The 27819-nt window shown below is 54.4% G+C and overlaps 3 protein-coding genes across 7 annotated transcripts, besides 20 other annotated features; 2 read left to right on the forward strand and 1 right to left on the reverse strand.

The window, feature by feature from the left end:
* Positions 1–3701: 3701 nt before the first annotated feature.
* On the forward strand, positions 3702–9811 carry MAGIX (MAGI family member, X-linked). 4 transcript variants are annotated; one of them, NM_024859.4, is made up of 6 exons: positions 3795–3975; positions 4820–4966; positions 5744–5826; positions 5900–6127; positions 6227–6398; positions 7111–9811. In NM_024859.4, the coding sequence occupies exons 1-6, from the start codon at positions 3927–3929 to the stop codon at positions 7434–7436; spliced, it is 1005 nt and encodes a 334-aa protein (NP_079135.3). In that variant the 5' UTR covers positions 3795–3926; the 3' UTR covers positions 7437–9811. The 4 variants fall into 4 exon arrangements, with proteins under 4 accessions (NP_001382330.1, NP_079135.3, NP_001093151.2 ...); NM_001395401.1 differs by lacking the exon at positions 3795–3975 and adding an exon at positions 3702–3782 and having other exon boundaries at positions 5744–6127; NM_001099681.2 differs by lacking the exon at positions 5900–6127 and having other exon boundaries at positions 3880–3975; positions 7111–9194.
* Positions 4774–4883: a silencer, noted in NCBI's record as "silent region_20837". NCBI's record gives its function as "represses an Ori minimal core promoter by ATAC-STARR-seq in GM12878 lymphoblastoid cells {active_cell/tissue: GM12878}" and the evidence as "EXISTENCE:reporter gene assay evidence [ECO:0000049][PMID:35858748]".
* Positions 4984–5484: a transcriptional cis regulatory region, noted in NCBI's record as "genic|chrX:49020285-49020785 region (GRCh37/hg19 assembly coordinates) targeted for CRISPR interference". NCBI's record gives its function as "positively regulates PLP2 gene expression in K562 cells {active_cell/tissue: K562}" and the evidence as "EXISTENCE:mutant phenotype evidence [ECO:0000015][PMID:31784727]".
* Positions 7010–7952: an enhancer, noted in NCBI's record as "H3K4me1 hESC enhancer chrX:49022309-49023254 (GRCh37/hg19 assembly coordinates)". NCBI's record gives its function as "activates a minimal SCP1, AML or CMV promoter by ChIP-STARR-seq in primed H9 embryonic stem cells {active_cell/tissue: H9 hESC(primed)}" and the evidence as "EXISTENCE:reporter gene assay evidence [ECO:0000049][PMID:30033119]".
* Positions 7010–8068: a biological region, named in NCBI's record as "H3K4me1 hESC enhancer GRCh37_chrX:49022309-49023254". NCBI's record gives its function as "regulatory_interactions: PLP2".
* Positions 7403–7903: a transcriptional cis regulatory region, noted in NCBI's record as "genic|chrX:49022705-49023205 region (GRCh37/hg19 assembly coordinates) targeted for CRISPR interference". NCBI's record gives its function as "positively regulates PLP2 gene expression in K562 cells {active_cell/tissue: K562}" and the evidence as "EXISTENCE:mutant phenotype evidence [ECO:0000015][PMID:31784727]".
* Positions 7779–8068: an enhancer, noted in NCBI's record as "active region_29630". NCBI's record gives its function as "activates an Ori minimal core promoter by ATAC-STARR-seq in GM12878 lymphoblastoid cells {active_cell/tissue: GM12878}" and the evidence as "EXISTENCE:reporter gene assay evidence [ECO:0000049][PMID:35858748]".
* Positions 8203–8783: a transcriptional cis regulatory region, noted in NCBI's record as "genic|chrX:49023505-49024085 region (GRCh37/hg19 assembly coordinates) targeted for CRISPR interference". NCBI's record gives its function as "positively regulates PLP2 gene expression in K562 cells {active_cell/tissue: K562}" and the evidence as "EXISTENCE:mutant phenotype evidence [ECO:0000015][PMID:31784727]".
* Positions 8209–8298: an enhancer, noted in NCBI's record as "active region_29631". NCBI's record gives its function as "activates an Ori minimal core promoter by ATAC-STARR-seq in GM12878 lymphoblastoid cells {active_cell/tissue: GM12878}" and the evidence as "EXISTENCE:reporter gene assay evidence [ECO:0000049][PMID:35858748]".
* Positions 8349–8398: an enhancer, noted in NCBI's record as "active region_29632". NCBI's record gives its function as "activates an Ori minimal core promoter by ATAC-STARR-seq in GM12878 lymphoblastoid cells {active_cell/tissue: GM12878}" and the evidence as "EXISTENCE:reporter gene assay evidence [ECO:0000049][PMID:35858748]".
* Positions 8409–8538: an enhancer, noted in NCBI's record as "active region_29633". NCBI's record gives its function as "activates an Ori minimal core promoter by ATAC-STARR-seq in GM12878 lymphoblastoid cells {active_cell/tissue: GM12878}" and the evidence as "EXISTENCE:reporter gene assay evidence [ECO:0000049][PMID:35858748]".
* Positions 8559–8668: an enhancer, noted in NCBI's record as "active region_29634". NCBI's record gives its function as "activates an Ori minimal core promoter by ATAC-STARR-seq in GM12878 lymphoblastoid cells {active_cell/tissue: GM12878}" and the evidence as "EXISTENCE:reporter gene assay evidence [ECO:0000049][PMID:35858748]".
* Positions 12812–12911: a silencer, noted in NCBI's record as "silent region_20838". NCBI's record gives its function as "represses an Ori minimal core promoter by ATAC-STARR-seq in GM12878 lymphoblastoid cells {active_cell/tissue: GM12878}" and the evidence as "EXISTENCE:reporter gene assay evidence [ECO:0000049][PMID:35858748]".
* Positions 12935–16272, forward strand: PLP2 (proteolipid protein 2). The gene is made up of 5 exons (NM_002668.3): positions 12935–13133; positions 14166–14318; positions 14425–14520; positions 15372–15462; positions 15709–16272. The coding sequence occupies exons 1-5, from the start codon at positions 13038–13040 to the stop codon at positions 15729–15731; spliced, it is 459 nt and encodes a 152-aa protein (NP_002659.1). The 5' UTR covers positions 12935–13037; the 3' UTR covers positions 15732–16272.
* Positions 13432–13631: a silencer, noted in NCBI's record as "silent region_20839". NCBI's record gives its function as "represses an Ori minimal core promoter by ATAC-STARR-seq in GM12878 lymphoblastoid cells {active_cell/tissue: GM12878}" and the evidence as "EXISTENCE:reporter gene assay evidence [ECO:0000049][PMID:35858748]".
* Positions 15839–27410, reverse strand: PRICKLE3 (prickle planar cell polarity protein 3). 2 transcript variants are annotated; one of them, NM_006150.5, is made up of 9 exons: positions 27293–27410; positions 25662–25747; positions 24771–24954; positions 20730–20843; positions 20288–20425; positions 19309–19512; positions 19030–19216; positions 17940–18239; positions 15839–17302 (listed from the first exon to the last, which is right to left on the reverse strand). In NM_006150.5, exons 1-9 carry the CDS (start codon positions 27332–27334, stop codon positions 16710–16712), a joined length of 1848 nt encoding a protein of 615 aa, NP_006141.2. In that variant the 5' UTR covers positions 27335–27410; the 3' UTR covers positions 15839–16709. The 2 variants fall into 2 exon arrangements, with proteins under 2 accessions (NP_006141.2, NP_001294908.1); NM_001307979.2 differs by lacking the exon at positions 27293–27410 and adding an exon at positions 25863–25930.
* Positions 17537–18038: an enhancer, noted in NCBI's record as "H3K4me1 hESC enhancer chrX:49032849-49033350 (GRCh37/hg19 assembly coordinates)". NCBI's record gives its function as "activates a minimal SCP1, AML or CMV promoter by ChIP-STARR-seq in naive H9 embryonic stem cells {active_cell/tissue: H9 hESC(naive)}" and the evidence as "EXISTENCE:reporter gene assay evidence [ECO:0000049][PMID:30033119]".
* Positions 18453–18953: a transcriptional cis regulatory region, noted in NCBI's record as "genic|chrX:49033765-49034265 region (GRCh37/hg19 assembly coordinates) targeted for CRISPR interference". NCBI's record gives its function as "positively regulates PLP2 gene expression in K562 cells {active_cell/tissue: K562}" and the evidence as "EXISTENCE:mutant phenotype evidence [ECO:0000015][PMID:31784727]".
* Positions 18557–18851: an enhancer, noted in NCBI's record as "tiled region #5879; K562 Activating DNase matched - State 25:Art". NCBI's record gives its function as "activates a minimal TATA promoter and a strong SV40 promoter by Sharpr-MPRA in K562 cells {active_cell/tissue: K562}" and the evidence as "EXISTENCE:reporter gene assay evidence [ECO:0000049][PMID:27701403]".
* Positions 25309–25809: a transcriptional cis regulatory region, noted in NCBI's record as "promoter|chrX:49040725-49041225 region (GRCh37/hg19 assembly coordinates) targeted for CRISPR interference". NCBI's record gives its function as "negatively regulates GATA1 and PLP2 gene expression in K562 cells {active_cell/tissue: K562}" and the evidence as "EXISTENCE:mutant phenotype evidence [ECO:0000015][PMID:31784727]".
* Positions 25418–25631: a silencer, noted in NCBI's record as "fragment chrX:49040834-49041047 (GRCh37/hg19 assembly coordinates)". NCBI's record gives its function as "represses an EF-1alpha promoter that drives an FKBP-Casp9 reporter gene in an ReSE screen in K562 erythroleukemia cells {active_cell/tissue: K562}" and the evidence as "EXISTENCE:reporter gene assay evidence [ECO:0000049][PMID:32094911]".
* Positions 27169–27709: a transcriptional cis regulatory region, noted in NCBI's record as "promoter|chrX:49042585-49043125 region (GRCh37/hg19 assembly coordinates) targeted for CRISPR interference". NCBI's record gives its function as "negatively regulates PLP2 gene expression in K562 cells {active_cell/tissue: K562}" and the evidence as "EXISTENCE:mutant phenotype evidence [ECO:0000015][PMID:31784727]".
* Positions 27403–27532: a silencer, noted in NCBI's record as "silent region_20840". NCBI's record gives its function as "represses an Ori minimal core promoter by ATAC-STARR-seq in GM12878 lymphoblastoid cells {active_cell/tissue: GM12878}" and the evidence as "EXISTENCE:reporter gene assay evidence [ECO:0000049][PMID:35858748]".

Below are 27819 nucleotides of genomic sequence, written 5' to 3' on the forward strand. Positions count from 1 at the left end.
ATGGACAGTGAGGGGAGGCATCCAAGCACCAGGTAGAATCTACTAACATCGATCAGGGAGCTTGCCAACTGGATGGGAAACTGCTTCCAGGCTGGGAGGTATTCAGGCTTGGGGAATCATGAACGAATGAAGGGGTCCAAGGACATCCTCAGGGGACGTGAATTACAGGGGCGGGGGCCCAGGATGCTGGATAGGTGTTCACTGAGACAGCTGACACCAGCAGGGCTGAAATTACAGGGGCAGGGGCCCAGGATAGGTGTTCACTGAGAGAGCTGACACCAGCAGGGCCGAAATTCCAGGGCCAGAGAGTAGTGTATGTGTCACTGAGGCTGCTGGCAGGGTTAGGGGTGTAGAGAGGATGCAGACATGAGGGAGGAACTCCAGCCACTGCATTGCCTGACACCTCAATGTACCTCTCTGGGAAGTGGGGGTGATGAGATATGCATGGTAAGACTGTCAAGAGAGTTCGGAACAAAGCTTCCAAATTGCTGGTGTTGTGCCAAGCCAAGCTATTTGGTAGCAGTGTTGGTGCTTATCTTTAATATTGATTACAATGACACTATGGGGGAGCAAACCCTCACTTAGCCCTGCCCCACTGTGGATTCAAATCAATGCCCCTCTTAGCCTCATCCATTTGTGAATACAACCCAATTACCCAGCTGGGCACGGTGGGTCATGCCTGTAATCCCAGCACCTTGGGAGGCAGAGATGGGCGGAGTTTGAGACCAGCCTGGCCAACATGATGAAAACTTGTCTCTACTAAAACTGCAGAAATTAGCCGGGCGTGGTGGTGGGTGCCTTTAGTCTCAGCTACTTGGGAGGCTGAAGCATGAGAATTGCTTGAACCCAGGAGATGGAGGTTGTAGTGAGCCGAGCTCGCACTACTGCACTCCAGCCTGGGTGACAGAGCGAAACTCTGTCTCAAAAAAAAAAAAAATCATTTAAAAAAACCCTAATTACCCCTTTTAGCCTCATGTAATTCAAGAATTAAGTCAATTTCTCTCACAGCCCCACCCAATTCATTAATTTAACAAAAGATTGTATTTATTTATTTATTAGAGACAAAGTCTTGCTACATTGGCTAGGCTGGTCTGAAAATTCTGGCCTTAGTGATCTTCTCACCTTGGCCTCCCAAAGTGCTGGAATTACAGGCGTGAGTCATCATGCCCAGCCTGTTTTGAGAATTTATATTTTATTTTTTTTAAAGACAGGGTCTTGCTCTGTCACTGAGGGTGGAGTGCAGTGGCATGATCACAGCTCATTGTAACCTCTAAGTCTTGGGCTTAAGTGATCCTCGTGCCTCAGCCTCCCAAGTAGCTGGGACTACAGGTGCATGCACTACACCCAGCTGTTTTAAGTTTTGAAGGGGTTGAGATATAATTGACTTCAATTTGATAGGTTTTGAATATGTTTATGTCAGTGAAACGATCACTACAGTGAAGATACTGAACAGGCTGGGTGTGGTGGCTCACCTCTGTAATCCCAGCACATTGGGAGGCAGAGGTGGGAGGATTTTTTGAAGCCAGGAGTTTAAGACCAGCCTGGACAACATAGTGAGACCCCCCCACCCCAGTCTCTACAAAAATGTAAAAAATTTGCCAGGCATTGTGGCACATATGTGTAGTCCTATCTGCTCAGGAGGATCCCTTGAGCCCAGGAGTTTGAGGTTACAATGAACTATGATTGTGCCACTGCAATCCATCCTGCATGACAGAATGTGACCCTGTCACTTAAAAAAAAAAAAAAGAAATACTGAGTATAACTATCTCTGCCAAAAGTTTTCTCCTGCCCTTTGTATTTCCTCTTTCCTGCCCTTTTGGCCCCCTCCCTCCAGGCAACCACTAATCCACTTTCTGTCACTGTATATCAGTTTGCATTTTATTAGATTTTTATATAAAAGAAATCATACAGCATGTGCTTTTTTGGAGCGTGGGTCTGGCTTGTTTTACCATAATTATTTTTGAGATTCATCCAAATCCTTCATTGTTTTTTATTGCTGAGTTGTATTACCCTGTATGTGTATACCATAGTTTGTTAATTTATTCATCTATTTTTTTCATTGAAAATTGTTTTCTTTTTGAGAGATGGGGTCTCACTATGTTGCCCAGGCTGGTCTCAAACTCCTGGGCTCAAGCAATCCTCCTGCCTCCACCTCCAGCCTCCCAAAGTGCTAGGATTACAGGCATTAGCATTTTTAAAATAGAGACAATGTTTCTATGTTTTTAAAATAGAGACAATCTTTCACTATGTTGCCAAGGCTGGTCACCAACTCCTGAGCTCAAGCGATCCTCCCACCTCAGCCTCCCAAAGTGCTGCGATTACTGGCCTCATTCAACTATTAATGGACATTTGGGTTATTTCCAGTTTTTGGATATTAACAAATATTATGGACTGAATTGTGTCCACCCATAAATATATATATATATATATATTTGTTGTTGTTGTTGTTGTTGTTTTGTTTTTTTGAGAGAAGTCTCGCTCTTATCCCCCAGGTTTGAGTGCAATGGCTCGATCTCCACTCACTGCAACCTCTGCCTCCCGGGCTCAAATGATTCTCCTGCCTCTGCCTCCCAAGTAGCTGGGATTAAGTCACCTGACACCACGCCTGGCTAATTTTTGTATATTTTAGTAGAGATGGGGTTTCACCATGTTCGCCAGGCTGGTCTTGAACTCCTGAACTCAGGTGATCCACCCGCCTTGGCCTCCCAAGGTGCTGGGATTACAGGCGTGAGCCACTGTGCCCAGCCATAAATATATATGTTAAAGCTCTAACCTCCAATGTGACTGTATCTGAAGATAGCTTCTTTAGGAGGCAACTAAGGTAAAATGAGGTCACTAAGGTGGAGCCCTAACCAGATAGGACTGTGACCTTATAAGAAACAGAAGAGAGAGATCTCTCCCTCTCTCTGTGTGTGCCTCTCTCACGCCTTTACTCTCCTTCACTCTCTTAATTCCATGTGAGGACACAGCAAGAAGGCAAGCATCTGCAACCCAAAAGGAGAGACCTCACCAGGAACCAAATTGGCTACCACCTTGATCGTGGACTTTCCGGCTTCCAGAACTGTGAGAAACTTATGTTGTTTAAACCACCCAGTCTACGATATTTTGTTACAGTAGTTCTAAATGAATAAGACAGGAAATAAAGCTGCTATGAATATTTGTAAGACAAGGCTGTGTAAATGTATGCTTTCTTTTAGATAAATACGCAGGAGTGGAATGGCTGGCTCATATGTGTACGCTTAGTTTTTAAAGACACTACCAAACTGTTTTCTAAAGTTGCAGGCCGGGCACGAGTGGCTCACGCCTGTAATCCCAGCACTTTGGGAGGCTGAGGCGGGCCTCGCCTGTAATCCCAGCACTTTAGGGAGTTCGAGACCAGCCTGACCAACATGGAGAAACCCCGTCTCTACTAAAAATACAAAATTAGGGGGGCGTGGTGGTGCATGCCTGTAATCCCAGCTACTCAGGAGGCTGAGTCAGGAGAATCACTTGAACCCGGGAGGCAGAGGTTGTAGTGAGCCGAGATCGTGCCATTGCACTTCAGCCTGGGCAACAAGAGCGAAACCCTGTCTCTAAATAAATAAATAAAGTTGCAATATCATTTTACATTTCCACCGGAGGTATAGGAGTTCCATTTCCTCCATATCTTCAGCAACAGTTGGTATTGTCAGGCTTTTAAATTCTAACTAGGACCTTTAGTTAACAGAGTGCGGCGCCTGCAGCAGAGTGAGGCCAAGCACTCCTCCTGGCTCCTACAGCCAGGCCTCCTTGCTGGCCGCCAGGTAGGTCACCGCGCGGGTCCGGGAGCCAGGCACGGGACCCGCCAGCTTCAGCCTCCAGGGCCTGGGCGGGCCGCCAGGTGAGCGCGCCCCAGAGCTCAAAATTCGTAGCTGGCAGCCCTGCGTCCACCCGGCGGACTACTGGCCATGGAGCCGCGCACAGGGGACGCCGCGGACCCTAGGGGGAGCAGAGGAGGTACAGGGATTGGGGTCGTTGGGGAAGGACAGGGCGAGTCGCCGCCATCCCCGTCCCGCCTGTCTGCTCCACACCTTTTCCTTCTGACAGGTGGTAAACAGAGCGGCTCTGGCGCCCAAGTGAAGGTGGCAGGGGGCAGGGGCCCAGCGATGGAGGCTGGGCTGGAGGTCCCCTACCCACACCCACACACGAGGGAAAGGGCCGCGCACCAGAGCAGGGGAGGGGCTCTCAGGAGTCTCCAGGGAGACGTGCAGATGTGCGGGGAGGGGTCTGCCCGTGGTCACTGGGGACACCTGGGCACTCAGGGTCTTAGTGAACTGGGGGGAGGGGAGCTGGGGGCCCCTGGGGACCTGTGGAGGGGGACTCTGGAGGTATGTGGGCCATGGGGGGAACGGGCCCTCTGAGGGAATTCATGGGGGTAGCAGCGGTTGCCTAGGATACTTAGACGGGGAATTGGGGGTTCCGGGGCTATGGGGTCAGGCCGTGTTCTCCCAGGATATCTGGGGAAATGGGGTCCCCTGAGATATCGCGGGCGAAGAGTTGGGCATCCAGGGTGATTAGGGGGCAGTCGAGGACCTCACGGGGTGTTCGGAGGTGTCTAGGACTATTGCAGTCAAACAGCGATCTCCAGGGACACCGTGGGAGCAAGCGGGGGTGCACCGGCTACCCGCGACGGTCGGGGATCGCGTGAGGGGAGGGACAGCAGTGACCTCCGAAACTATCGAGGGAGTGGCCAGGGGTCGCCGGGTATCCTGAGGGGCATTTCTAGGTCTTCGAGCGTCCGGAAGCATAGGGGTTGGCCGAGGCCGAGGGTCGGCGTTGACCTGTCCCCTCTTGCGCGCAGGCCGCGGCCCCTCCCCGCTCGCGGGCCCTAGCGCCCGGCAGCTCCTGGCGCGGTTGGACGCGCGCCCCCTGGCGGCGCGAGCTGCGGTCGACGTGGCAGCGCTGGTACGCAGGGCGGGCGCCACATTGCGCCTGCGCCGGAAGGAGGGTGAGTGACTGGCGCAGGGCCTCCGCTGGGGGAGGGTTCGGAGAGGAGTTGGGTTCAGTGGGACAGGCCTGGGGGGTCAGCAGCTACTGCCCTGTCTTGGGTGGGGCCAAGGGGCGCGACTTGGGGCGGGGATCGGAGGGTGCTTCGAGTGGGAGGAGCCTTGGGGTTATTCTAGCATATTCCTTGAGGGTTATTGCAGTCGGCGAGGGCTAGATTAGATGAGAGTGCGGAACTGGACCCCCGTTCTGGCGGCGGTCCTTTTTGAGGAGGCAGGGCCTGGAGAGTGCTTGGGGGGCGGGCACGCAGCGAAGGGGCAGGCCTGAAATGTGAGTCACGGGGGTGGAGCCTATAGTCCCATGGGGGCGGGGCTTGAGATGTCAGGAATGGGATGAGGGTTAGAGGCTAATTAGAGGGCGTGCTATGGAAGGTTCAGGAGCCAAATTTTGGAGTAGCATTCTCCAGGGTGGGCCGAATGGTGTTGTTTGAGGGATGTGTTCTGCGTGTTATTAGAGGGAGATAGGAAGGCCTGGAAGATTATTCACATGGCTGAGCCCAGGATTGTTTATTAAGAAGGTGGGGTCAGAACAGTTAATTTGTTTGGGCTGAGAACCTTTAAGATTACTTGAGGGGATGGTGCGTAAATGGTGGGCCAGTTTGTATATGAGCTGCAGGGGCAAGACAAGTAGATGAGGCTAGAATGTTAACTCAGGGAACAGGTCCTAGGTAGTTTCCATGGCATGTCCCCCAACAGCCCTCTCCACTGCTTTTATCTCCCAGCTGTTAGCGTGCTGGACTCTGCGGACATAGAGGTCACAGACAGTCGCCTGCCTCATGCCACTATTGTGGATCACCGGCCCCAGGTACCATCTCATCCTTCTATCGGAGGCCTCCTGCCTCAGGGCAAACTATGTACACCTGTGTCCTTTATTCCAGCACCGTTGGTTAGAGACATGTAACGCACCTCCCCAATTGATCCAGGGTAAGGCACGTAGTGCTCCGAAGCCATCCCAGGCCTCTGGTCATTTCTCTGTGGAGCTGGTTCGCGGTTACGCAGGCTTTGGCCTCACCTTAGGTGGGGGCCGGGATGTAGCTGGGGACACTCCGCTGGCCGTGCGCGGGCTGCTGAAGGATGGCCCAGCACAGCGCTGTGGTCGTTTGGAGGTGAGCCCTGAAGCCCCTTCCACTGGTAGGTGCTATCCCTGCCTTTGTTGGGGTGCTCTCCTTTTGCCTTTCCAACACGACTGCATTGCACTCCTCCAGGTCGGGGACCTCGTGCTCCACATCAACGGAGAGTCAACGCAGGGCCTCACCCATGCCCAGGCCGTGGAGCGGATCCGAGCTGGAGGCCCCCAGCTCCACCTGGTTATTCGTCGGCCTCTGGAGACCCACCCTGGCAAGCCTCGAGGGGTGGGAGAGCCCCGAAAAGGAGTTGGTGGGTTTCCCAAGGGAGAGAAGTCAGAGATCAGTGAGGAGAAGGGAGAGGTTCACAGAGTGGAGAAGCTGAGATTCTGGGTGGGAAGGGTTTGGTGGTCTCTGTGGGGAGGGTCTGCAAGAGGTCATGGTATTCTCACAAGTAGGGGCAGGGAGGGGTACAGGGTCCCAGGATAGGAATAACGTAGGGGCAGGGAGGGGTGTCAGTCTCGAGGATAGGAATTTCAGAGGGTGGGTTTTCCAGGTACTGGGGGAAGAGAAGGGAAGGGGTCTAGGATAAAAGCAAGTGTTTGGAAGGAAGGGTCTTAGTTCTCAGAGGCGAAGGCAGAGTGGATCTTAGCCGGGGGAAAATGGGATGGGGATCCAGAGGGTAGGGGGTCTAGTTCTGAAAAACAAAGGGTCGGTGGTTTGGGAGTCAACGGAGGTGGGATGAGAGAGGAGAGAGCAGGGGCTCCTAGATGAGCGGGGTTTGATTTCCTTTGGAGATTGTGGGAAATGATTTCTGAGGGGCATGTTCTGGATCCAGGAGGGGAGGGGTCTCGGGAAAGGAGGTGTCGGGGTTGTGAGGGGTGGTGCCGATCCCAGAAGGCCTGGAGGGGAGATTTCTCTAAGGGTCAGGGTCTCATCTCCCGCAGCCTTTGGGTTCTCCTGTCCATCCTCAGCCAAAGGCCTGGATTTCCCTTCCCTACTTCACCACCCAATCTAATCCGTAGTCCCGTCATGGCCAGATCGCAGCCCAGATCCTGGAGGGCCGGAGGTAACGGGGTCTCGCAGCAGCAGCACTTCCCTAGTTCAGCACCCTCCATCCCGGACGACGCTCAAGAAGACCCGGGGCAGCCCGGAGCCTAGTCCAGAGGCGGCCGCCGATGGCCCCACGGTTTCTCCTCCTGAGCGCCGCGCTGAGGATCCCAACGACCAGATCCCGGGTTCCCCGGGGCCCTGGCTAGTGCCCAGCGAGGAACGGCTCTCGCGGGCCCTAGGGGTCCGGGGGGCAGCGCAGCTCGCTCAGGAGATGGCAGCCGGAAGGCGGAGACACTGAGCCTACCTCTGACAGCGCGGGGCTCACTAGTTACCGCCCAACCTGGATCCGGCGCGTGTGGCCGCTGGGCACTTGGCACCTCCCCAAGAGCTTCCACTTGGTTTGGTCCCCCCACCCGCTGCTCAGTGGCTCTGACCACACTCCCCTCGCAGCGTCAGTGGTACGACCCTTCCAGCCGGCTAGCCTGCGCTTCTGGTTCTGGGAGGGGGAGGTAATAAAATGGTTCGATCCGGTCTTGACTTGCCAGGCGCTCGAGGCGGGGTGGGGCTGCCCGGGCCACTCTGTAAAGGAGCAGGTGGGTCGATCCTGCTTGAGTAATCGCTGACGAGCTTCGTGCTGCTGCTTTCCTGCTTGCACATGTTATCTTTGCTTCTGCCGGTCCTCAGTCTGGCGTGCTTTCTTTTTCTCTTCGCCGTCTCCTGCTCCTCTCCTTATTCATTAATTTCACCTTTTTGGAGGTGTACAGGGTCTCACACATAAATTATTGTGCATGGCATGGAGAATGCAGAGGTGAGCCTGTCGTGGCAGGACTGCACCAGTGTATCCACAGTCCTGTCTCGGAATCATACAGACCCTCAGCTGACGTCGGGATAGCAAGGCTAGAAGCCTAGAAGCAGGGCAGCTTCCTTCGCCAGAGGCCTGCGGTCTCCCACTTCCGGCCTAGTCTGCCAGCTTTTGCTGGCACGTAGGCTACCACTCTCCGGGCACCGGCTGGGGTCCTGGAGCCCCCTTTGGGGCGGAGTGGGGAAGGTGTGAGTCAGCGCCCCTGGACGGGCCGGGCTAAAAAAGGCTGTTAGAACCTTTGGGCCGTGCCCCCATTTTCCGTACATGGTGAAGAACTGCAGCCGGGCTTGTGTGCACACGCCACACACTGGGCGTTCCCGGCACGGGAGAGGCCCAGAGTTTCCTTCACCCTGGGAACAGAGCCCTACAGCCAGGGCTTATATGGCCAGCGGGACTCCAACCGGGGTAGCCGCGAGGAAGGCGCTGGCAGAGGACAGAAATGTCCAGTCACCTCCGCTGTCACCACATCCTGAGCACTCGGCCCCATCCCCCCACAGGAGGGAAGCTGTGGTCTGACGGAATGGGCAACTTTCGCCCCTGTGGGGAGGGGACGGGGAAGGAAGAAAGAATTTAAAGGACCGGAATGCGAGAGTCCAGGTGGCCTTGGAGAGGAAAGAGGAACGGTGAAGACAAGCTGCGAGAGCTGGGAGCTGGAGGGTGAAGAGGTGAACACTTGAGTGGTTAGAGCTGTAGATAGACATTGTGGGGAAGTGTGCCAGGGTGGCTTCCAGCTACCCCTGACTTAGAGCCTGGTGGAGGTGTGGTTCTTCAGAAGTCAGCAAAGGGCTCAAGAGCCCCAGTCTATAAATACAGTCACACCCAGGAGACTAATAATAGTAACCCCAGCCACCATGTACTTAGTTTTATCCCTGCTACTGGCTTTATTGCAATATTTATTTTCATCTACAATAGTTGCACATCTACTCAACTATCCGAATATGTCCATTTCGCAGAGGAGGAAAGTGAGGCCCAGGGAGTGCAGATAGCTACAGAGAGGAGGGTCAAAGCACGATTTAATCAAGGCCTGATTCCCAAGTCTGTCCTCTCAATTTCACCTGCATTGACAAGTATTAATTGAACCCCAACTGTATATGTTGCACTGTGCTAGGTACTGTGGAGATGCTGGAGGAACAAGACATAAAATTTCTTTGTGTAGCTGATGTATGTAATGAGAGTAGACAGATGTCAGACAAAAAAGACGAGAAAATGAATAAATAAAAAACCAGGCCAGGCGTGGTGGCTCACGCCTGTAATCCCAGCACTTTGGGAGGCCGAGGCTGGTGGATCACGAGGTCAAGAGTTCAAGAGCAGCCTGGCCAAGATGGTGAAACCCCGTCTCTACTGAAAATACAAAAATTAGCCAGGTGTGGTAGCAGGTGCCTGTAATCACAGCTACTCGGGAGGCTGAGGCAGAGAATTGCTTGAACCCAGGAGGTGGAGGTTGCAGCGAGCCAAGATCGCACCACTGCACTCCAGCCTGGGTGACAGAGCGAGAATCAGTCTCAAAAAAAAAAAAAAAAAAAAAAAAAACTTCAGGCCAGACATGGTGGTTTGTGCCTGTAATCCCAGTACTTTGGGAGGCGGAGGCGGGTGGATTGTTTGAGCCTACAAGTTTGATACCAGCCTGGGCAACATAGACCTTGTCTCTACAAAAAGTTTAAAAATTAGCTGGGAGTGGTGGCTCATGCCTGTAGTCCCAACTACTTGGGACACTGAGGTGGGAGGATCACTTGAGCCTGGGAGGTCAAGGCTGCAGTGAGCCATGATTGCACCATTCCACTCTAGCTGGAGTGACAGTGAGACCTTATCTCAAAAAAAAAAAAAAAAAAAAAAAAAAGGCCAGGCTCGTGGCTTACATCTGTAATCCCAACACTTTGGGAGGCCAAGGCAGGCGGATCACCTGAGGTCAGGAGTTCGAGACCAGTCTGACCAATATGGAGAAACCCCATCTCTACTAAAAATACAAAATTAGCCTGGTGTGGTGGCACATGCCTGTAATCTCAGCTACTCAGGAGGCTGAGACAGAAGAATCGCTTGAACCCGGGAGGTGGAGGTTGCGGTGAGCCAAGATTGTGCCATTGTACTCCAGCCTGGGCAACAAGAGCAAAACTCCTTCTCAAAAAAAAAAAAAAAAAAAAAAGACAATTTCAGAGAGAAGTGAGAGTCATGAAGCTATGAAGCTAGCAAAAGGAGGTTACATTGTGGGAGATGATGGTGAGCTTCTGGCCTCTTTGAAGACATAACTCTTGAGCTGCAACCTGAATGACCAGAAGCCAGGTATATGAAGCACTGAGTGAAGGGCATTGACAGCAGGGGGAATAGCAAGTGCAAAGGTGTTGAAGTGGAACCAGGTTCATCTTGTTTCAGAAATTCAGACGTGTCCTCACAGAGTTGGAAAGCACATACTCATCACTAGGAAAAGTATGTTTCATCCCTTCCACTATTCACTCACTCTTCCGGCAACCGGGGCTGAAAGAGGGGAGCTCTTTCCTTAGTTTTGAGGGGCCCTGTGTTGGCAGAGAGAGCAGGCAGGCCCTTGGGTTGAATCCTCCTGGCCATCCAGTTATGATTCTCCCCCACTTCAAATGAGATGAGAATAAAAACAACTTCTAGTCTGGAGAGTGTGTCCCTCAGGGTACCTCTGGGATCCTGATTCCAGGAGACGAGATGCATGTCTTAGATGCAGAAATTAAGGCTGAGCTGGGGGAAATTACTTGCTCAAAATAACACACTTAGCCAGGCGCAGTGGCTCACGCCTGTAATCTCAGCACTTTGGGAGGCCAAGGCGGGAGAATTGCTTGAGGTCAGGAGTTCAAGACCAGCCTGAGCAACATAACGAGACCTTGTCTCTACTAAAAAATAAATAAATACAAACAAAGTGTCTACAAATGTCACCCAGCCTTGCACCCCAGGAGCCATCCATTCATCTTGCCAATCCCCCAGAAATAAACTTTCCTATTCCTCATGTACGATTGTGCTGACTGGCCCCTCTCTTCAGAACCAGGAAACTGAGGCCCAACATTTAGGGCCAGGACTTCCTTGGGATTGCAGAACACAGAATCAGACCTTGGGCTCTCTGGGCTCTAACACTACTACAAAATATGTTTTTTTAAAATAGAGACAAGCTCTCACTACGTTGCCCAGGCTGGTCTCGAACTCTTGAGCTGAAGTGATTCTCCTACCTCGGCCTCCCAAAGTGCTAGGATTACAGGCATGAGCCACTGCTCCTGGCCTTGGGCTCTAACACTTGAAACAATGCTTGCCCTATTTCTGAGCAACTCAATGCTCACCAACCCCTATTCTCACACAGCCTTTACACTGGCAGGGTCTTATTCTCATCACTGCTCAGAGGTTTATTCCACTGTCCACAATCCATTATCCAAAAACAAAAAGCTCTGGAAACTGATGGTTTTCCCACAAGATAGGCACTATTTGGTTACAAAACCTGACCTGATCTAACGAGGAACAATTTTCTTTCTTCCTTTCTTTTTGTTTTTCCTTTTTTGGAGACAGGGTCTTGCTCTGTTGCCCAGGCAGGAGTGCAGTGGTCTGATCATGGTTCACTGCAGCCTTGAACTCCCAGGCTCAAGCAATCCTCCCACCTCAGCCTCCCGAGTAGTTGGGATTACAGGCACGTGCCACCATGCCTGGGCTAATTTTTTTCTTTTTTCTTTTTTTTTTTTTTTTTTGAGACGGAGTCTTGCTCTGTCGCCCAGGCTGGAGTGCAGTGGCGCAATCTTGGCTCACTACAACCTCCACCTCCCAGGTTCAAGCGATTCTCCTGCCTCAGCCTCCTGACTAGCTGGGATTATAGGCGAGCGCCACCACACCCGGTTCATTTTTTGTGTATTTTTAGTAGAGACGGGGTTTCACCATGTTGGACAGGCTGGTCTCGAACTCCTGACCTCGTGATCTGCCCACCTCGGCCTCCCAAACTGCTGGGATTATAGGCTTGAGCCACCGCGTCCGGCCGCCTGGGCTAATTTTTAAAATTATTTGTAGAGATGAGGTCTCACTGTGTTGCCGAGGTTGATCTCCAACTCTTGGGCTCAAGCGATCCTCCCACCTGAGGCTCCCAGAGTGTTGGGATTACTGGCATGAGCCACTGCGCCCAGCCGAGGAACACTTTTCAATCCTTACCCAGTTATTGTGAACGTTCATACCTTTTCTTGAAGAAATACCGTTTTTGTTGTTGTTGTTGTTTTTGAGACGTAGTTTCGCTCTTGTTGCCCAGACTGGAGTGCAATGGCATGATCTTGGCTCACCGCAACCTCTGCCTCCCGGGTTCAAGCGATTCTCCTGCCTCAGCCTTCCGAGTAGCTGGGATTACAGGCATGCGTCACCGTGCCCAGCTAATTTTTGTATTTTTAGTAGAGACGGTGTTTCTCCATGTTGGTCAGGCTGGTCTCGAACTCCCGACCTCAGGTGATCCACCCGCCTCGGCCTCCCAGTGTTGGGATTACAGGCGTGAGCCACCGCGCCTGGCCCTTTTTTTTTTTTTTTGTAACGCGGCAGCTCCAAACCCCGCTGAGAGTATATGCATGGGAAAACTTTCTGAAATCAAAAATATTCCGAATTCTGGCAACATACTGGGCCCCAAGTCTTTCGGATTTAACTCTGCCTCGGCCGTTTTATTCAGTTAAGGAAACTGAGTCACTCCATCCCAAAGCCAGATTCCCGCGGTTCTAAGCTGAAGCTGTCTCGGGTGCATTTGCATTCCAAAAAGGCGAAGGGTCCCGCTATTACTGCTCCTGGTACCTGGAGCTGCCAAGCACCCCTGCGATGGGGCGCCCCGGGGGCTGTGCGCCAGGCTGGGAGTATCCTTGGGGGGCGGGGCGAGGGGGCTTCCGGGGCGGCAGCCACCTGGCCCGGCTCCGGCCCCGCCCGCGTCAGCTCTGCGCGGTGATTCACTCCCTCCTTCGCCCCGGGGCCCCCTTCCCGGCCAGACGGCGGGCAAGACAGCTGGGTGTACAGCGTCCTCGAAACCACGAGCAAGTGAGCAGATCCTCCGAGGCACCAGGGACTCCAGCCCATGCCATGGCGGATTCTGAGCGCCTCTCGGCTCCTGGCTGCTGGGCCGCCTGCACCAACTTCTCGCGCACTCGAAAGGGAATCCTCCTGTTTGCTGAGATTGTGAGCGTTCTGGGGCAGGCGCGTGGGCAAAAGCGGGATGGGGTGGCTGGACCATGCGGAACTGGATGGTCCGGGTGAGGCAGGCACTTGGCCGGGGCGCTCGGCAGTGGGGTGCAGGTGGGTGGGTTCACGGTGGAGGCCCGAAACCCGGGGCGCAGGGCGAGTCGGTGGGGTTTGACGAAGGTTGTTGAGATCTGGTGGTCCCCGGGGTGAAGCAAGGAGCCTATAACGCATACGGAGGGCTACGTGGGGACAGCCTGCGTGAACTCATCAGTGGACGCATCGAAGGGGTCCCAGGGTGCTGGGAAGTGGGGGCCTCCTGTGGCAGGGCGTGGCGCGGCCTGGGCACAGGAGGGCGGGCTGGCAGCGCGCCCAGGGGCAGGGCCTGTTGGGGTGGGGCCCCCCCGCCCCGCGCTAGTCCCGCGGTGTAGAGCGCCCCGCCCTTCGCCAGTTCTTCCTCGCCCTTCAGAGGCCGGGCGGGATGTCCTTAGCTTTTCGGGGTTTCCACCCTTCTCAAAGTGGGCGCCGCCTTTGAGTCACTTGTAAAAGGGGTGCGGCGCCTTTAACGGAGTCCTGCCTCTCTGGTGTCACTCTCACCGCTTCCCAAAGGGGTTGCTGGGGGAACCGCGTGTTCCGCCCCGGTCAAGGCCACAAAGCTGGCGTCAGCGGGGCTCACAAAACACCTGGCAGCGCCACTCCCCTCAGGCTGCCCGTAACCTAGAAGGGAAAAGAGGAAACTGAGGCACCCAACTCTACTCCTTACTTGTTGGGTGACCCTGGCCAAGCCATTAAACCTCTCTGTGCCTCAGTTTTCTCGTCTATAAATTAGAAAGAGTAATAATAGTACCCAGAGCATTAGATTGTCGTGATGATTGAATTTGGAACACAGTGAGCACATAAAAAGTGTTTAGCTATTATTGTATGTCATTTCCCCAGCCCTCGTAGGCATCTTAGTATGGGACCCCCAATTTAAACCAATCTTCTCAGCCCTGGTTGCTGATTGAGGTCCCCTTTCCCATGTCACCCTTCCAGATATTATGCCTGGTGATCCTGATCTGCTTCAGTGCCTCCACACCAGGCTACTCCTCCCTGTCGGTGATTGAGATGATCCTTGCTGCTATTTTCTTTGTTGTCTACATGTGTGACCTGCACACCAAGATACCATTCATCAACTGGCCCTGGAGTGTGAGAAGGGGTCCACAATGGCAAGACCAGGGAGGGGTCTGGGCAGTTAGGATTGTCGGGGAACTGTGGTTGCTGACTTCCCTCTTCTCCTCCCTACACCTCACAGGATTTCTTCCGAACCCTCATAGCGGCAATCCTCTACCTGATCACCTCCATTGTTGTCCTTGTTGAGAGAGGAAACCACTCCAAAATCGTCGCAGGGGTAAAGGCCATGGGAGCAGCTCTGAAGCACAGAGCGAAGGGTTTGAGGAGCCAGGGACCATTTCTGCCTTTGCTTCTGGCAGAAATCGTGTGACCCACAGCAAGTCACACTTGTCCTCAGACATGGAGGAAAGTCTGGCCCAGGACTTGGTTTTGCCTCCCAAGGTCTTCATTTGCTGTGAAGGGAAGTCCCTTGTCAGACACAAGGACCTTGGTGAGAGGTACAAACAGGCGGCCCCTTTGTCAATGCACTAGACTACCATCTGCAAGAACTTTGTCCCAAATGTAGTAGAAATTGGGGCCGGGCGCAGTGGCTCATGCCTGTATTCCCAGCACTTTGGGAGGCTGAGGCCGAGGCAGGCAGATCACTTGAGGTCAGGAGTTCAAGACCAGCCTGGCCAACATGGCGAAACCCCATCTCCACTAAAAATACAAAAATCAGCCGGGCATGGTGGTGGGCGCCTATAGTCCCAGCTACTCAGGAGGCTGAGGCAGGAGAATCACTTGAACCCAGAAGACAAAGGTTGCAGTGAGCCAAGATCATGCCACTCACTCCAGCCCCAGTGACAGATGGGTGACAGAGTGATACTGTGTCTCAAAAAAAAAAAAAGTATGACTTGAATTGTGCCCCCTACGGGTAGGGCCACAGTGTGGCCTCCCTGTGTTGAGAGGTATAGGAGGAGGGAGAGTGGGGTAGGATGCACTCTCTTGGCCTTTCCCTGGCTTACCAACCCGGTGCTTGAGTCCCATCCTGCGTGGGGCAGGTGCTGGAGGTGGTGGATACAAGAAGATAAGAGACTGAGTAACCTGACCAGCTAATCTAAACCCCCTCACTCCTATCCTGTCCCCCAGGTACTGGGCCTAATCGCTACGTGCCTCTTTGGCTATGATGCCTATGTCACCTTCCCCGTTCGGCAGCCAAGACATACAGCAGCCCCCACTGGTAAGTGTGTGTGTGTGTTGGTTGGGGGTAAGGGGGTTGCTGAGAGGGCAGAGGGAAAAAGGAAAGGGATCTCTTAAAGGCACGAATGCCAACTCTGGTCTCGTATTGGTACTTAGGGCTTTTGTACCAATAGGTACCATAAGCTTCGGTATTCTTGTGTGTAAAATGTTCATGGACTTTGGATCTTGTTTTAAAAAATGGGCATATAGATTCAGCCAATGCTTTCTCTCTTTTCCTCACCTGCAGACCCCGCAGATGGCCCGGTGTAGGCGAACTTCCCTCATTTCTCTCTGCAATCTGCAAATAACTCCTCCATTGAAATAACTCCTCCCCACCCCAACAACAACATTCCCAGCAGACCAACTCCCACCCCCTCTTTGAGGTAAAAGTGCCTTTATTGGGAGACTTTTGTCTTCCAGCCTGCCAATCAACCCTCCTGGGTGTGGCCACCATATGTGTGTGCCTAGGTCCTCCTTCTGCACGATCCAATAGGAGACACCAGTTCTGACTGAACCATGCCCCCACCTAAGTCACAAAATGAGGGAAGTGGGGAGTTAGATTTCAGAGTCCAGGCCCTAGGTTGGGACCCACTCCAAATAATCTCCTCGGTGTGGGTGGTGGTTCTATAGAGGGATAAATGAATAATAAACATTGTTAAAATATACGATAATGAATAAAGTAATCCTTTCATCAAATGTGGGTAAATTTCAAGCATCAGGAGGGGGAAATGGAGTGGAAACAGCTGGGGCAAGGAGGCAAAGAAGCCAGGCCTGTTTTACAACAAATATTAAATTACTTCAATAATACAAACGAGAGGCCCGGTGCGGTGGCTCATGCCTGTAATCCCAGTCCTTTGGGAGGCTGCGGGAGGATTGCTTGAGCCCAGGAGTTCTAGACCAGCCTGGGCAACATGGCAAAACCCCATCTCTACCAAAAAATTAAAAAATTAGCTGGGAACGCTGACACGAGCCTGGAGTCCCAGCTACTTGGGAGGCTGAGGTGGGAGGATAGCTTGAGCCCAAAACTTTTGAGGCTGCAGTGAGCCCTGATCACACCACTGCACTCCAGCCTGGGCAATAGGGTAGACCAAGTCTCTAAAACAGAAACAAAAATAGAAACAAACTGATAAAGGAGGGAGGAAGAGGATTTATGACTTAGGTTGTAGGGGCGGGGCGTGGGGGTGAGGGGCATGGGCCTCATCATCTACTCTGACTGGAGAATGGAGCCCCCTCCAGGACGGCCTGCCTTCAAGCCACGATGCAGTTCTTGTCTCGGGCCTGACGAGGCATCCCTGCGCGAGAGTCCCTGGGGAGCGATAAAGATGGGGAGTTGAAGGTCTCCATTGCAGTGTCCTGAGCAGGCATGGGCCTGCACAAATGCGGGGGCAGAGGGATGCGCTCTCCTAGGAAGAAGCCATCATCCTCTGATGATTCGGAACTGGAACTGGAGGGCGAGCTGGAGCAAGATTCCGAGTCTGACCCTGATCCCGCGTCACATTGATAGTGGCGACGTCTGCTTGGGTGGCGGTTGTGATGGTGATGGTGATTATGATGATGGTGGCGGCGACGGCTGGGGGCCCTGGGTGGGGGACTGCGTGGCCTGCGGCGCTGGGCCGGGGGTGCACTCAGGGTCCGGCGCGGGCCTCCTTCAGACACCAGAGGGTCGCGGAAGCTGACGCGTGGGGTGCTCTGACGACCGAAGGCACTATCATCTGGGCGCAGGTTAGGCTGGCCGGGGGACTCTGGGGGCGGCTCGGGGACACTGCGGAGCCCCAGTTCCGGCATGGAGTGGCGGTGGGGAGCCCCTCTCAGAAAGCGGGAGGGCTCCTCAGGGCCTGTAGCTGTTAAGGGGGAGACAGAGTGACTCCTTGTATCTGCCCTCCCACTGGCCCCCTCCTAAGAGGAGGCCTGCGGAAGGGCCTTCTTTCCTCCACTAAGACTGGGAAAGTGGGGGCAGGGGTCGGAGAATGGCAGGGAGGTGGGAAGTCTGGGAAGTGTGAGGCCTGGAGCAGGCTCTGGGTGTTGAGAGGGTTGGAAGGAAGAACACGGAGCAAGATGGGACTGGTGTGGGGGGCGTGGCCAGGGCACCCGGGGTGGCTTCGGATGGAAGAGGTGTGGCATAGGCTGGAGTAGATTTGGTTTGCAATAAAAGGGGTGGGGCCTGACTGCAGAGGATGAAGGGTGACCGGCTGGAGAAGAGGAAGAGGAACTTGGGGTCAAGCAGAGACAAGTTGAGGTAGGGGACCAGCCCTGTATTGACAGGGTGGAACCAGGGTTCATGAGGCGGGTGTAGTTTGGGATGGAAACCAGGCCTGGACTGGTGTGGGGAAGGAGGATGAGCTGAGAAATGGGCGGGGCCCAGGGATACAGCAGGTGAAGGGCCTGGGCTAGTCAAGAAGGAAGGGCCAGGGCTGAGGCAGGGGCAAGGACATAGGGGTGACTGGGCTGTGGCTGGGTGTGGCTAGAGGGTTAGCTCACCTGGCGCTAACTCTGTGCTGGTGCCTTTGGTGGTGGTCTCTGATGCCCCCTTCACAGCAGAGAAAGAGGCTGTGGAGGCTGCAAGTGGGGCTGTGACAGGGCCGGCACTCCAGCTGCGGCGGCTCGGCCCTGGAGCTGTGGGCTCGGACCCAAGGCTGCAGGCTCGAGAGCAGAAGATTAGGCCTCGGCGTGGCAGGAATGGGCGGCCCAGCAGGGCCCGCCCACAGCGACTACAGCAGAAGCAGCGGTCTGAGGCATGCCAGTGCTGGCCCTCGTAAGCCATCTGGCCTTGGTCCAGGCCTGTGGGGAACGACGAGGGGGAAAAACTGAGGCAGAACCCCCAGGCGTAACCCCACCCCTCGTGAACGAGTCCCTTCTCAAGAAGAGGTGGGGAATCCGAGGCAGGGCACCCCTGGGTGCCTTCCTCCCTCCTCCAGAATGGGGCCCTTTTGGAGAAAGCAGGAAACAGGTTTTGGTTCTCTCCTGGAGACTGGCTGGTGAACCTCTCTCTCACTCCTCCCTTTCTTTCCCAGGGTGCTCTCTCCCAGAGCGGGGTGGGCATTGGACTCTAAGATTCGGGCCAGGCTTAGACATTAGGGGGTGGCTCCAAGTGGAAGGAGAATGGAAAGCTGGGCCTGAAGAGGAGGCCTGGCTGGTGGGGGCAGGGCTTAGCAGGTGGGGAGTGGCCCTGTTGAGAAAGGAGTGGTTCTCAGAGGATAGGGTGTAGCTAGAAGCTAGGCCTGACTTAGGCTGATACAGGAGAGTGGAGGAGAACGGGGCACAGCTTGGGGTGGTAGAGGCTAGGAGTAGGGCGAGCCCTGGGGCTGGAATTAGAGCACCCTCTGGAGGTGGGTGTAGACATGTGGTGGTGGCCTAGCATTGTGTTAGGTGGGGTTTAGAAAGCATGGCATAGTGGGGACATTGGGAGTGGGACTTGCAACCAAGCGTACAGGTCTATAGTGTTGGGGCTGGACAAAGTACAGGGCACAATGGAGGATGGGGCCTGGAGGACAGGAGGAGTCCTGGTGGGGTAGGACTGTGGCCCAGCTGTCCATCCATCCCTCTGTCCAGTCCCACAGCATTCACCCACCGATGTGCTCCCCACAGCCATCACAGTACTCCGCGTGGCGGGCCTCGTAGCAGGCGCAGCAGTGGGGGCGGCTCTGACGCATGACATAGCGCTGCCCTCCTAGTGAAGCTTCACACTCAAAGCAGCAGAAGTGATCCATGTGCCAGTGGCGGCCCTCAGCCTCCGTGCACTCAGGGGAGAAGATGATCTGGAGGGCGCAGGCCATCTGTGGCTGTCAGATGAGCCTGCTCCTGGCCCTGCCCACCCTCAACTCCCACCCCTGGGCAGGGAGGCCCAAACCTCGTCACAGGCTTGGCAGCGTGGACGCAGGCATTCGGCATGGTGACGCCCGCAGTAGACCTTGCCAACATGGTAGAAGTAGATGAGGTCAACCAGCAGTTCCTGGCACGTGGTACACACGAAGCACTGTGGGTGCCAGCAGGCACCCAGGCCTGCACGGCTGGCAAACACTGCGATGTCCCCACCTCCAATCTGCTTTCCGCACTGCCATGAGACAAGCACCAAGATGGTTACCATCACTGTCACCAAGATGGTCAGATGGATGGGGTCAGCCAAAGTATGTTACACTTGGGCCTTTCCCACAGTGAAACTTTGTGATCAGCCCCACCCATGGGGTAACTTTGACACAGGCCCTGCCTATACCAGGGATGGGGTTGGGCGGTACCTTAGAGACTGACCCTGCTCATGAGGGAAGCCGTAGAGACAGGCCCTACCCATGGTGGGTGGCCTTATAGGCAAGCCTCCCTCATCAGGGGTGGGGAAGACAGACAGGCCAGGCCTAGTGGGGGAAACCACAGAGATAGTCTCCACCCACCGGGACCTTAGCAATAGATCTCACCTAACAGTAGGATCTAAGGACAGGCCCTGCTTACCACTGGGCCCTGCAGACAGGCCCTGCCACTGTGGGTCAGCTCTTGAGGACAAGTTCTGACCACAGGAGGACCAAAGAGATAGCCCATGCCCCATGTCCACTGCACAGACGGGGAGAAAAACACACTAAGGCCTCCTTACAGACAAACCCCACACGACAGTGGGATTGATGGGACAGGTCCCTGTCCACCAGGGGTTGCCTTAGAGACAGTCCCTGCCCAACAGTGAGATGTGAGGAACAGACCCCGCCCACAAGAGGGGACCCTAGAGACACCTCACTGGGGCTTAAGTGGCAGGCCTCATCTTCCCAGTGCTTGGAAGATGTGTCCTGCTCCCCAGGGCTTGGAGCAGAGGCACTGCTCACTCGCTGAGGCCCTCCACGGCTCACCTCCTCACAGATGGCCCCAGTGATGGTCACCGGGAAGATGCGCACGATGCCACGCCCCAGATTCTCCCGCTTCCGCTGCTGGCTAAAGGCTCGGAGCTCTTTCTTTTCCTCCTCTTCCAGTGCTGTGCAGTACTGTGCCTGGGAGGAGAAGGCATCTCCCAGGCTCCTCCCTTGATGCCTGTCCCTGCCCCTCTTCCAGACTTCATCCATGCCCCGAAAGTTTACTTCTAGGTCTTTCTATAGATGGTGCCTCCTGCCTGAAGTAACCACCTCTTCTTCCAAGGCCCAGCTGTGGTTTTGCCAAGGAATGTCCCCTGATGACCCCTGCCTGTCTGGACCACTCACCTCAGATCAGCTCACCTTTCCTCCTCTGACCCTGCCCTGCATTGGCCCAGGCTGTGTGCTGTGCCTGGCATGCCCTTCCTGTCTTCTCTCTCCTCACCTCACTGTCGTGTGGGGGCAGCTGGTGCAGCAGCTGCTTGATCCTGTATTTCTCCCCAGGACTGTTGACGTAGGGGACCTTGTCCTCTGGGAGGCAGCTGAAAAATTGATATACCTGGGAGGACATAGGAGTGGGAGAAAACAACTGAAATGAGAGGTGAGTTGGGATGCAGTGAGATGGCGGGTCCCCATTTCTCAGAAAATGAAAGGCATTAGGAGGGACCTTCTGACTCCCTCATCTCTCCTTCCTAAAGGCGGATCATTTCCCTCAGCTCCCAGCTCCCAAACACGCTGAGGGTTCCTGCATGTATTGACCTCACTTCCTCCTCCAGCTGCTGATCACCTTTTTTTTTTTTTTTTTTTTTTGAGACGGAATCTTTCTCTGTTGCCCAAGCTGGAGTGGCGCGATCTAGGCTCACTGCAACCTCCGCCTCCTGGGTTCAAGCGATTCTCCTGCCTCAGCCTCCTGAGTAGCTGGGATTACAGGCATACCACTATGCCCAGCTAATTTTTTATTTTTAGTAGAGACAGGGTTTCACCATGTTGGCCAGGCTGGTCTCGAACTCCTGACCTCAAGTGATCCGCCTGCCTTGGCCTCCCAAAGTGCTGGGATTACAGGTGTGAGCCACCGCGCCCAGTCTACTGATCCACTTTTCTTTTTCCCTTTACAGGAAAATTCCTCAAAAAGTTATGAGCACTTGTGTTCACTCCACTTCCTGTCCTTCCAATCTCTCTTGAGCCTACTTGAGGCAGGCTTCCGCTCCCATCCCTCTTCCAAAGCTGTCAAGGTCATCCATGACTTCCCCATTGTTAAAATCATTGTTCAGGTCTCAGTCGTCATCAGACTTGATGATGGTAGCACTGCACCGAGCTGACCACTCTCTCTTCCTGGAAACACTTTCTTCCCTTGGCTTCCAGGACACCACACAGTCCAGGTTTTCCTTCCACCTTATTGGCTGCTCCTTCTTTGTCCCTGTTTTGGCTCCTCCTCAACTAGCTGACCCCTAAATGCAGGAGGATCCTAGGACTCAGCTCTTGGTCCTCTTGCCTCTGTCTACATTCAATTTCTTGGGAATTACATTCAACCTTATGGCTGTAAATATCATCTACTTGGCTGGCTAATGTGTCACCTCCAGCCTGTGACACATAATGACAAACACATACGTCCAGCTCTGTAACTTATCCCTTGAGTTCCAGGCAATGTGGCTATTTAGATGTCTAACAGGCATCTCAAACTCCAGATGGCCACAACCAAACTTATGCTCTTACCCCTCAAACTGCTCCTGTCTTGGCCTCTCCCACATCAGTTAATCTACCTATCCTCAGGGTCATCTTTCACTCCTCTTTCTCCCACCCCCACAAGCAAATCCTCTGAGTGCTACTTCCAAAATATAGGCTGGGTGCTGTGGATCACACCTGTAATCCCAGCACTTTAGGAGGCCCAGAGGGGAAGATAGCTTGAGCCCAGGAGTCCAAGACCACCCTGGGCAACATGGCAAAACCCCATCTCTACAAAAAATACAAAAATCATCCAGGCGTGATGATGCGTGCCTGTAGTCCCAGCTACTTGGGAGGCTGAGGTGGGAGGATCACTTGAGCTCAGGAAGTTGAGGCTGCAGTGAGCTGTGATTGAGCCACTGCACTCAAACCTGGGAGACAGAGTGAGACCCCCCCCCATATATATATATGTGTGTGTGTATATATATATATATATATACACGTATAATTATTATACGTATATTATTTACGTAAATTATATACGTAAAATAATTATTTTATATATATGTATATAGATGTATACATATGTGTATATATATGTGTATATATACGTATATATGTGTATATATATACGTATATGTGTATATATATACACGTATATATACGTATATATATACGCGTGTATCTATATACGTATATATATATGTGTATATATATATACACACACATATATATATATTAAATAATTATTTATTAAACGGAATTTTGCTCTTGTTGCCCAGGCTGCAGTGCAATGGCATGATCTGGGCTCACCGAAACCTCCGCCTCCCGGGTTCAAGCGCTTCTCCTGCTTCAGCCTTCCAAGTAGCTGGGATTACAGGCATGTGCCACCACGCCTGGCTAATTTTTTTGTATTTTTAGTAGAGACGGGGTTTCTCCATGTTGGTCAGGCTGGTCTCAAACTCCCGACCTCAGGCGATCTGCCTGCCTAGGCTTCCCAAAGTGGTGGGATTACAGGCGTGAACCACTGCACCCAGCCTATTTTTTTTTTTTTTGAGACAGGGTCTTGCTCTGTCGCCCAGGCTGGAGTGCAGTGGTGCAATCTCAGCTCACTGCAACCTCTGCCTCCTGGGTTCAAGGAATTCTTGTGGCTCAGCCTCCCGAGTAGCTGGGATTACAGACATTTGCCACCATGCCAGACTAATTTTTGTATTTTTAGTAGAGATGGGGTTTCACTATGTTGGCCAGGCTGGTCTCAAACTCCTGACCTCAAGTGATCCACTCGCCTCGGCCTCCCAAAGTGCTGGGATTACAGGTGTGAGCCACCATGCCGGCCTTTCTGTCTGTCTGTCTGTCTCTCTCTCCATATATATATAACTCCTTGCACTGCCAGTGCCATCATCATCAGGTTCCTCACTGGTCTCCTGATTCCACCCTTATTCCTCCAGGCTGTCTTCTGCTGACAACCCTCTTGCGACTTCCCTTCATTCACAGGCAAAGCCAAAGTCCTCTCCATAGCCCCTGCCACATCTCTGACCTCATCTCCAGCTGGTCTCCCCCTTGCTCACTCTGCGCCAGCAGCACTGGCCTTGCCATCCCTTACATATGCCAAGCACACGCCTGCCTCAGGGCCTTGGCATTAGCCATGCCCTTTGCCTGTGTGAATCGCTGTAACCTTAGATGTCTGCATGGCTCACTTCTCACCTCCTTTCGGGCAGCTCAACCATTAAATTCTCACAGAGGCTTATTCTGGGCACCCTATTTACAATTCTAGCATCTCTCTCCTTCCCTCTCTCTTTCTTCACCCCACCTTCCTTGCTTTTTAATTCCATAGCCCTTACACCATCTGACATATATTTACAGGTTTGCTTATTGGGTGTTCCTCCTTTCCAGAATCTACCCTCTGCCTGGGCAGATTTTTTTTTTTTTTTTTTTGAGAAGTATCACTCTGTTGCCCAGGCTGGAGTGCAGTGGCACGATCTCAGCTCACTGCAACCTCCGCTTCCTGGGTTCAAACAATTCTCCTGCCTCAGCCTCCTGAGTAGCTAGGATTACAGGTGTGCACCACCACACCTGGCTAATTTTTGTACTTTTAGTAGAGACGGGGTTTTGCCATGTTGGCCAGGTTGGTCTCAAACTCCTGACCTCAAGTAATCCGCCCGCCTCAGCCTCCCGAAGTGCTGGGATTACAGGCGTGAGCCACCGTGCCCGTGGGCAGATATGTTATTTTGTGTTTTGCTCATTGCTGTGTCCTCAGTGCCTAGAACAGTGTCTCACATGCAGTAGGTGCCCCATAACTATGTGTTGAATGAGTCAATCAATGAAGTCATGTGGTGAATGAAGTGCTGGGAGGGTAGAATAGGGAGTGGGGCCACGCATGGTGGCTTGCTCTTGTAATCCCAGCACTTTGGGAGGCCGAGGCAGGATCACTTGAGCCCAGGAGTTCAACATCAGCCTGGGCAACATAGGGAGACCCTGTCTCTACAAAAAAATTTTAAAAATAGCCAGGCAGGGTGGCATGCACCTGCAGTCCCAGCTACAAGGGAGGCTGTGGTGGGCAACAGAGTGAGACCCTGTCTCAAAAACAATCAATCAAAAATAATAGGATTGGGGTGAACAGGCCCTGAGGAACTGGTCCCTCAGTCACCCAAGGTATGGGGGGCTGACCACTCTTCCATCACAGAGGGGCCAGAAGGACCCTCGGTCTGACTGCACACTCTAGCGTAGCCCCAGAAATAGGTTCCCACCTGAGTGTGTGTGTGTGTGTGTGAGCATTAGTGTGCACCCACTGGACAGCAAGAGTGGAGGGCTGGCCTCTGGTCACCTGCTCCGGCTTAAGGCCTGGGGGCACCCAGGCATACTCCTCCGATGCACAGCCTGAGTCGTCGTCGGAGATGGAGTGGCGCTGGAAGTCCGAGATTAGCCGACACATGATGCGTTCCAGGTCCACAGGCACCGCGTGCACTGCATGCTCCTCCCGCGGGCATTTGCAATGCTGGCAGATCTTTCTGAGGGGGCCGGGATGGGGGTCAATTACTAAGGAGTTGCCCACCCGAACCCCTCGGCAGCCCAGGTCCAATGGAGGAGCGGGGACATACAGATTATCACCACCAAAGGTCTGTGAGCAGGGACAGGGATCTGGGCCTGGGGGCAGGGCTGCAGGAGGTGGGCCTATGAGCCAGGGTGTGGCTGGGCTGTGAGCCAGAGGACAGGTCGTGGGGAGTGGGATGCTTTGTGGGGGAACTTTCACTAGACACAGGCATCTAACCTGTGGTGAGGCTCTGAACTTGTGGGCTCTGAGCCTGTGGGTAGGGCCTGAGTCTGGGGGCTGTAGGCTCTGTTTATTGGGTGCAGGGCTCCAGCAGGAGGATAGGACGCTGGGCCTGGGAGAGTAGGTCTGAGTCTAAGAGGGGTGCTGGAGGCCAGAGGGCGGCGCTCAGAGTTAGAGACGAAGAATCTCCCTAGGGATGCGACTCCGCGGCTACGGGAGAACACTTCTGGGGGCGGGGCTGCGTAGTGGGTGGAGCTCTCCTGGGAAAGGACTTTGGGGAATGAGTCAGGGGGCGGGGCTCTGAATCTGAGCCTGAGGCTCTTTTCCCAACTGAGATCCCTCTGTAGGCGGAGCTCAAGCGTAGGGGCGTGGCGTAAGGCTCCTGGATTTCCCCCCGAAGGCGGAGCTCTGACAAAGGCGAGGCCCTTTAGGGGCGCCACTTACCTCCAGCCGTGGAGCAGGAAGCCAGGGCACTGCTCCCTACAGGAGTTGCAGGGCTGGCCCCGGTCTGGGTCCTCTGCCTCTGGAGGCTGCAGTGGGCGGGGGCAGATGCAGGGCCGGGTGAGGCGCGGAAGCAGGGAAGGAGAAGTCAACGCCCGCCCCTCCACTTCATTGCCCGCGACCGCACGCTGGGGCCTGTCTTACCTGGGCAGCGCTGGGCAGGCTGGGACAGCGCCCAGAGTGCGGGGGAGCGGGACACAACCGAGGCAGAGGCGGGGCAGTTGGAGCCACCTCCTTATATGTCCCCTTTTCAGGGAATTCCCCTTCCTAGGCTGGCCTCGGACCCCCCTCCCCGTCCGCCCCTAGCCTCAGACACCTCCCACCAGCCTTAGATCCTTCCAGGGCTCAAGCACCTCCCCTATAATTCATTGTACTCTCCCCACTAGAGCACAGAACCCCTACTCTGGGCATCCTCTCCCCGGCCTCATCCCGGTTCCCTCTCCATCTACGCCGCCAGCAGCACTCCAGTTCCACAGGGTAGGAGACGAGACCGCATTCTTCCTTGAGATCCCCACGTGAACCCTGCCCCTCTCTTCAGAAGCTCAGGAGCTCCTCCCCTAAACCCTGGCCTCATGCCCTGATACCCAAGGAACTGGGGACCCTCCCCAGGATCTCAGGAGGCCCCTGCTCCATTCAGAAACCCCCATCCCAAGAAACCTTGGCCTTTACCCATCCCATCCTAGGGCTATTTATTCCTTCTCCGGACCATCAAACCCAGACCCCACATTCCCAGGTCAGAGACCCACTCCAAAGGAAGTGAAAGAACCTCCTATCTAAGAAGTCAAAAACTCCCTTGCTCAGGCGGAACCCTGGAAGCCTTGTCCCCCCAAATCCCAGTCTCTTGACTCTCAGCATTTCGGCATCCCAGGAGTGTAGGACTCCATCCCTCCGTGCACATTCCTCCAAGGTACTGTGTCCTTTAGAAGCTGAGGAGGTCGGCCAGGCTCGGTGGCTCACGCCTATAATCCCAGCACTTTGGGAGGCCGAGGTGGGCGGATCACCTGAGGTCAGGAGTTCGAGACCAGCCTGGCCAACATGGTGAAACCTTGTCTCTACTAAAAATACAAAAATTAGGCGGGCGCGGTGGCGGGCGTCTGTAATCCCAGGTACATGGGAGGCTGAAGCAGGAGAATCGCTTGAACCCAGGAGGCGGAGGTTGCAGTGAGCGGAGATAGCGCCACTGCACTCCAGCCTGGGTGACAGAGATTCAGTCTCAAAAAAAAAAAAAAAAAAAAAAAGCAGCAGCTCAGGAGGTTCCTGCTCAACCTAAGGCTTCAAGACCCAGTTCTCTGGCCCTCAGGATTCCCTCCCACAATTCATAAGAGAGGGGTCCCCACCAGGTCCCAGGAGTGCTGATGAAAGTGTGTGGAGAGGTGATTAGGGGGTTTGGGCCACCAGATCTACACCTTCCTCCATCCATTCGCCTCCAGCAGCCCCAGCCCCAGGTCTGGGAATGCAGGGGATGGGATTCCCAGATCCTCTGTGGGGCACCTATTCGCTATGCCTATCCATTGCCCCCTTGCCTGGGCCTCAGTTTACCCCCGACCCCCACCGCTGCCCTGACTCCCGCTCACCGCACGCCCGGAGCGGCGCCTCCGGGACCCACGCGCGAACATGGCGCGCCCGGGCAGGGTCAAGCCGGGCCGGGTCAGGCGAATGTAATCCTTGCGACCGTCAGGCCACCGCGCGTCCGGCCTGGGAACTCGGTTCCGTAAACCTGACACCCTCGTGGGAGGAGCGCGCCCCGCAGGGCCCGCCCCCGGGCATGTGGTCTCTCCGCTGCCAGGGCGCCCCCTGCCTAGAGGTGAACTGCACGTAGCCCGGAGTGCCCCGCGGGAAAGGCCTCTGCCCTCCCGCTCCGGGCCGGTGCGGGGCGTCACAAGGCACGACCCCCAGAATCCCGGCGTGCCACGTGGCCTCTCACGGGACCTGGGGCTTGAAGGTTCTGTAGTGGAGGATGGGGAGACTCAGAGGTGGCCAACTGGACTGAGAGGGGTGGCGCGCTAGGGTGCTTGTGTTGACGTTTTGTGTCGATTTATTTCGGATGCTTATTTGGGAGAGGGGTTAAAGACACCTCTTGGCTCCTCCCCACTGGTGAGGT

This window comes from Homo sapiens, chromosome X, assembly GCF_000001405.40.
Source record: "Homo sapiens chromosome X, GRCh38.p14 Primary Assembly".
In the NCBI taxonomy this organism is placed as follows: Eukaryota; Metazoa; Chordata; class Mammalia; order Primates; family Hominidae; genus Homo; species Homo sapiens.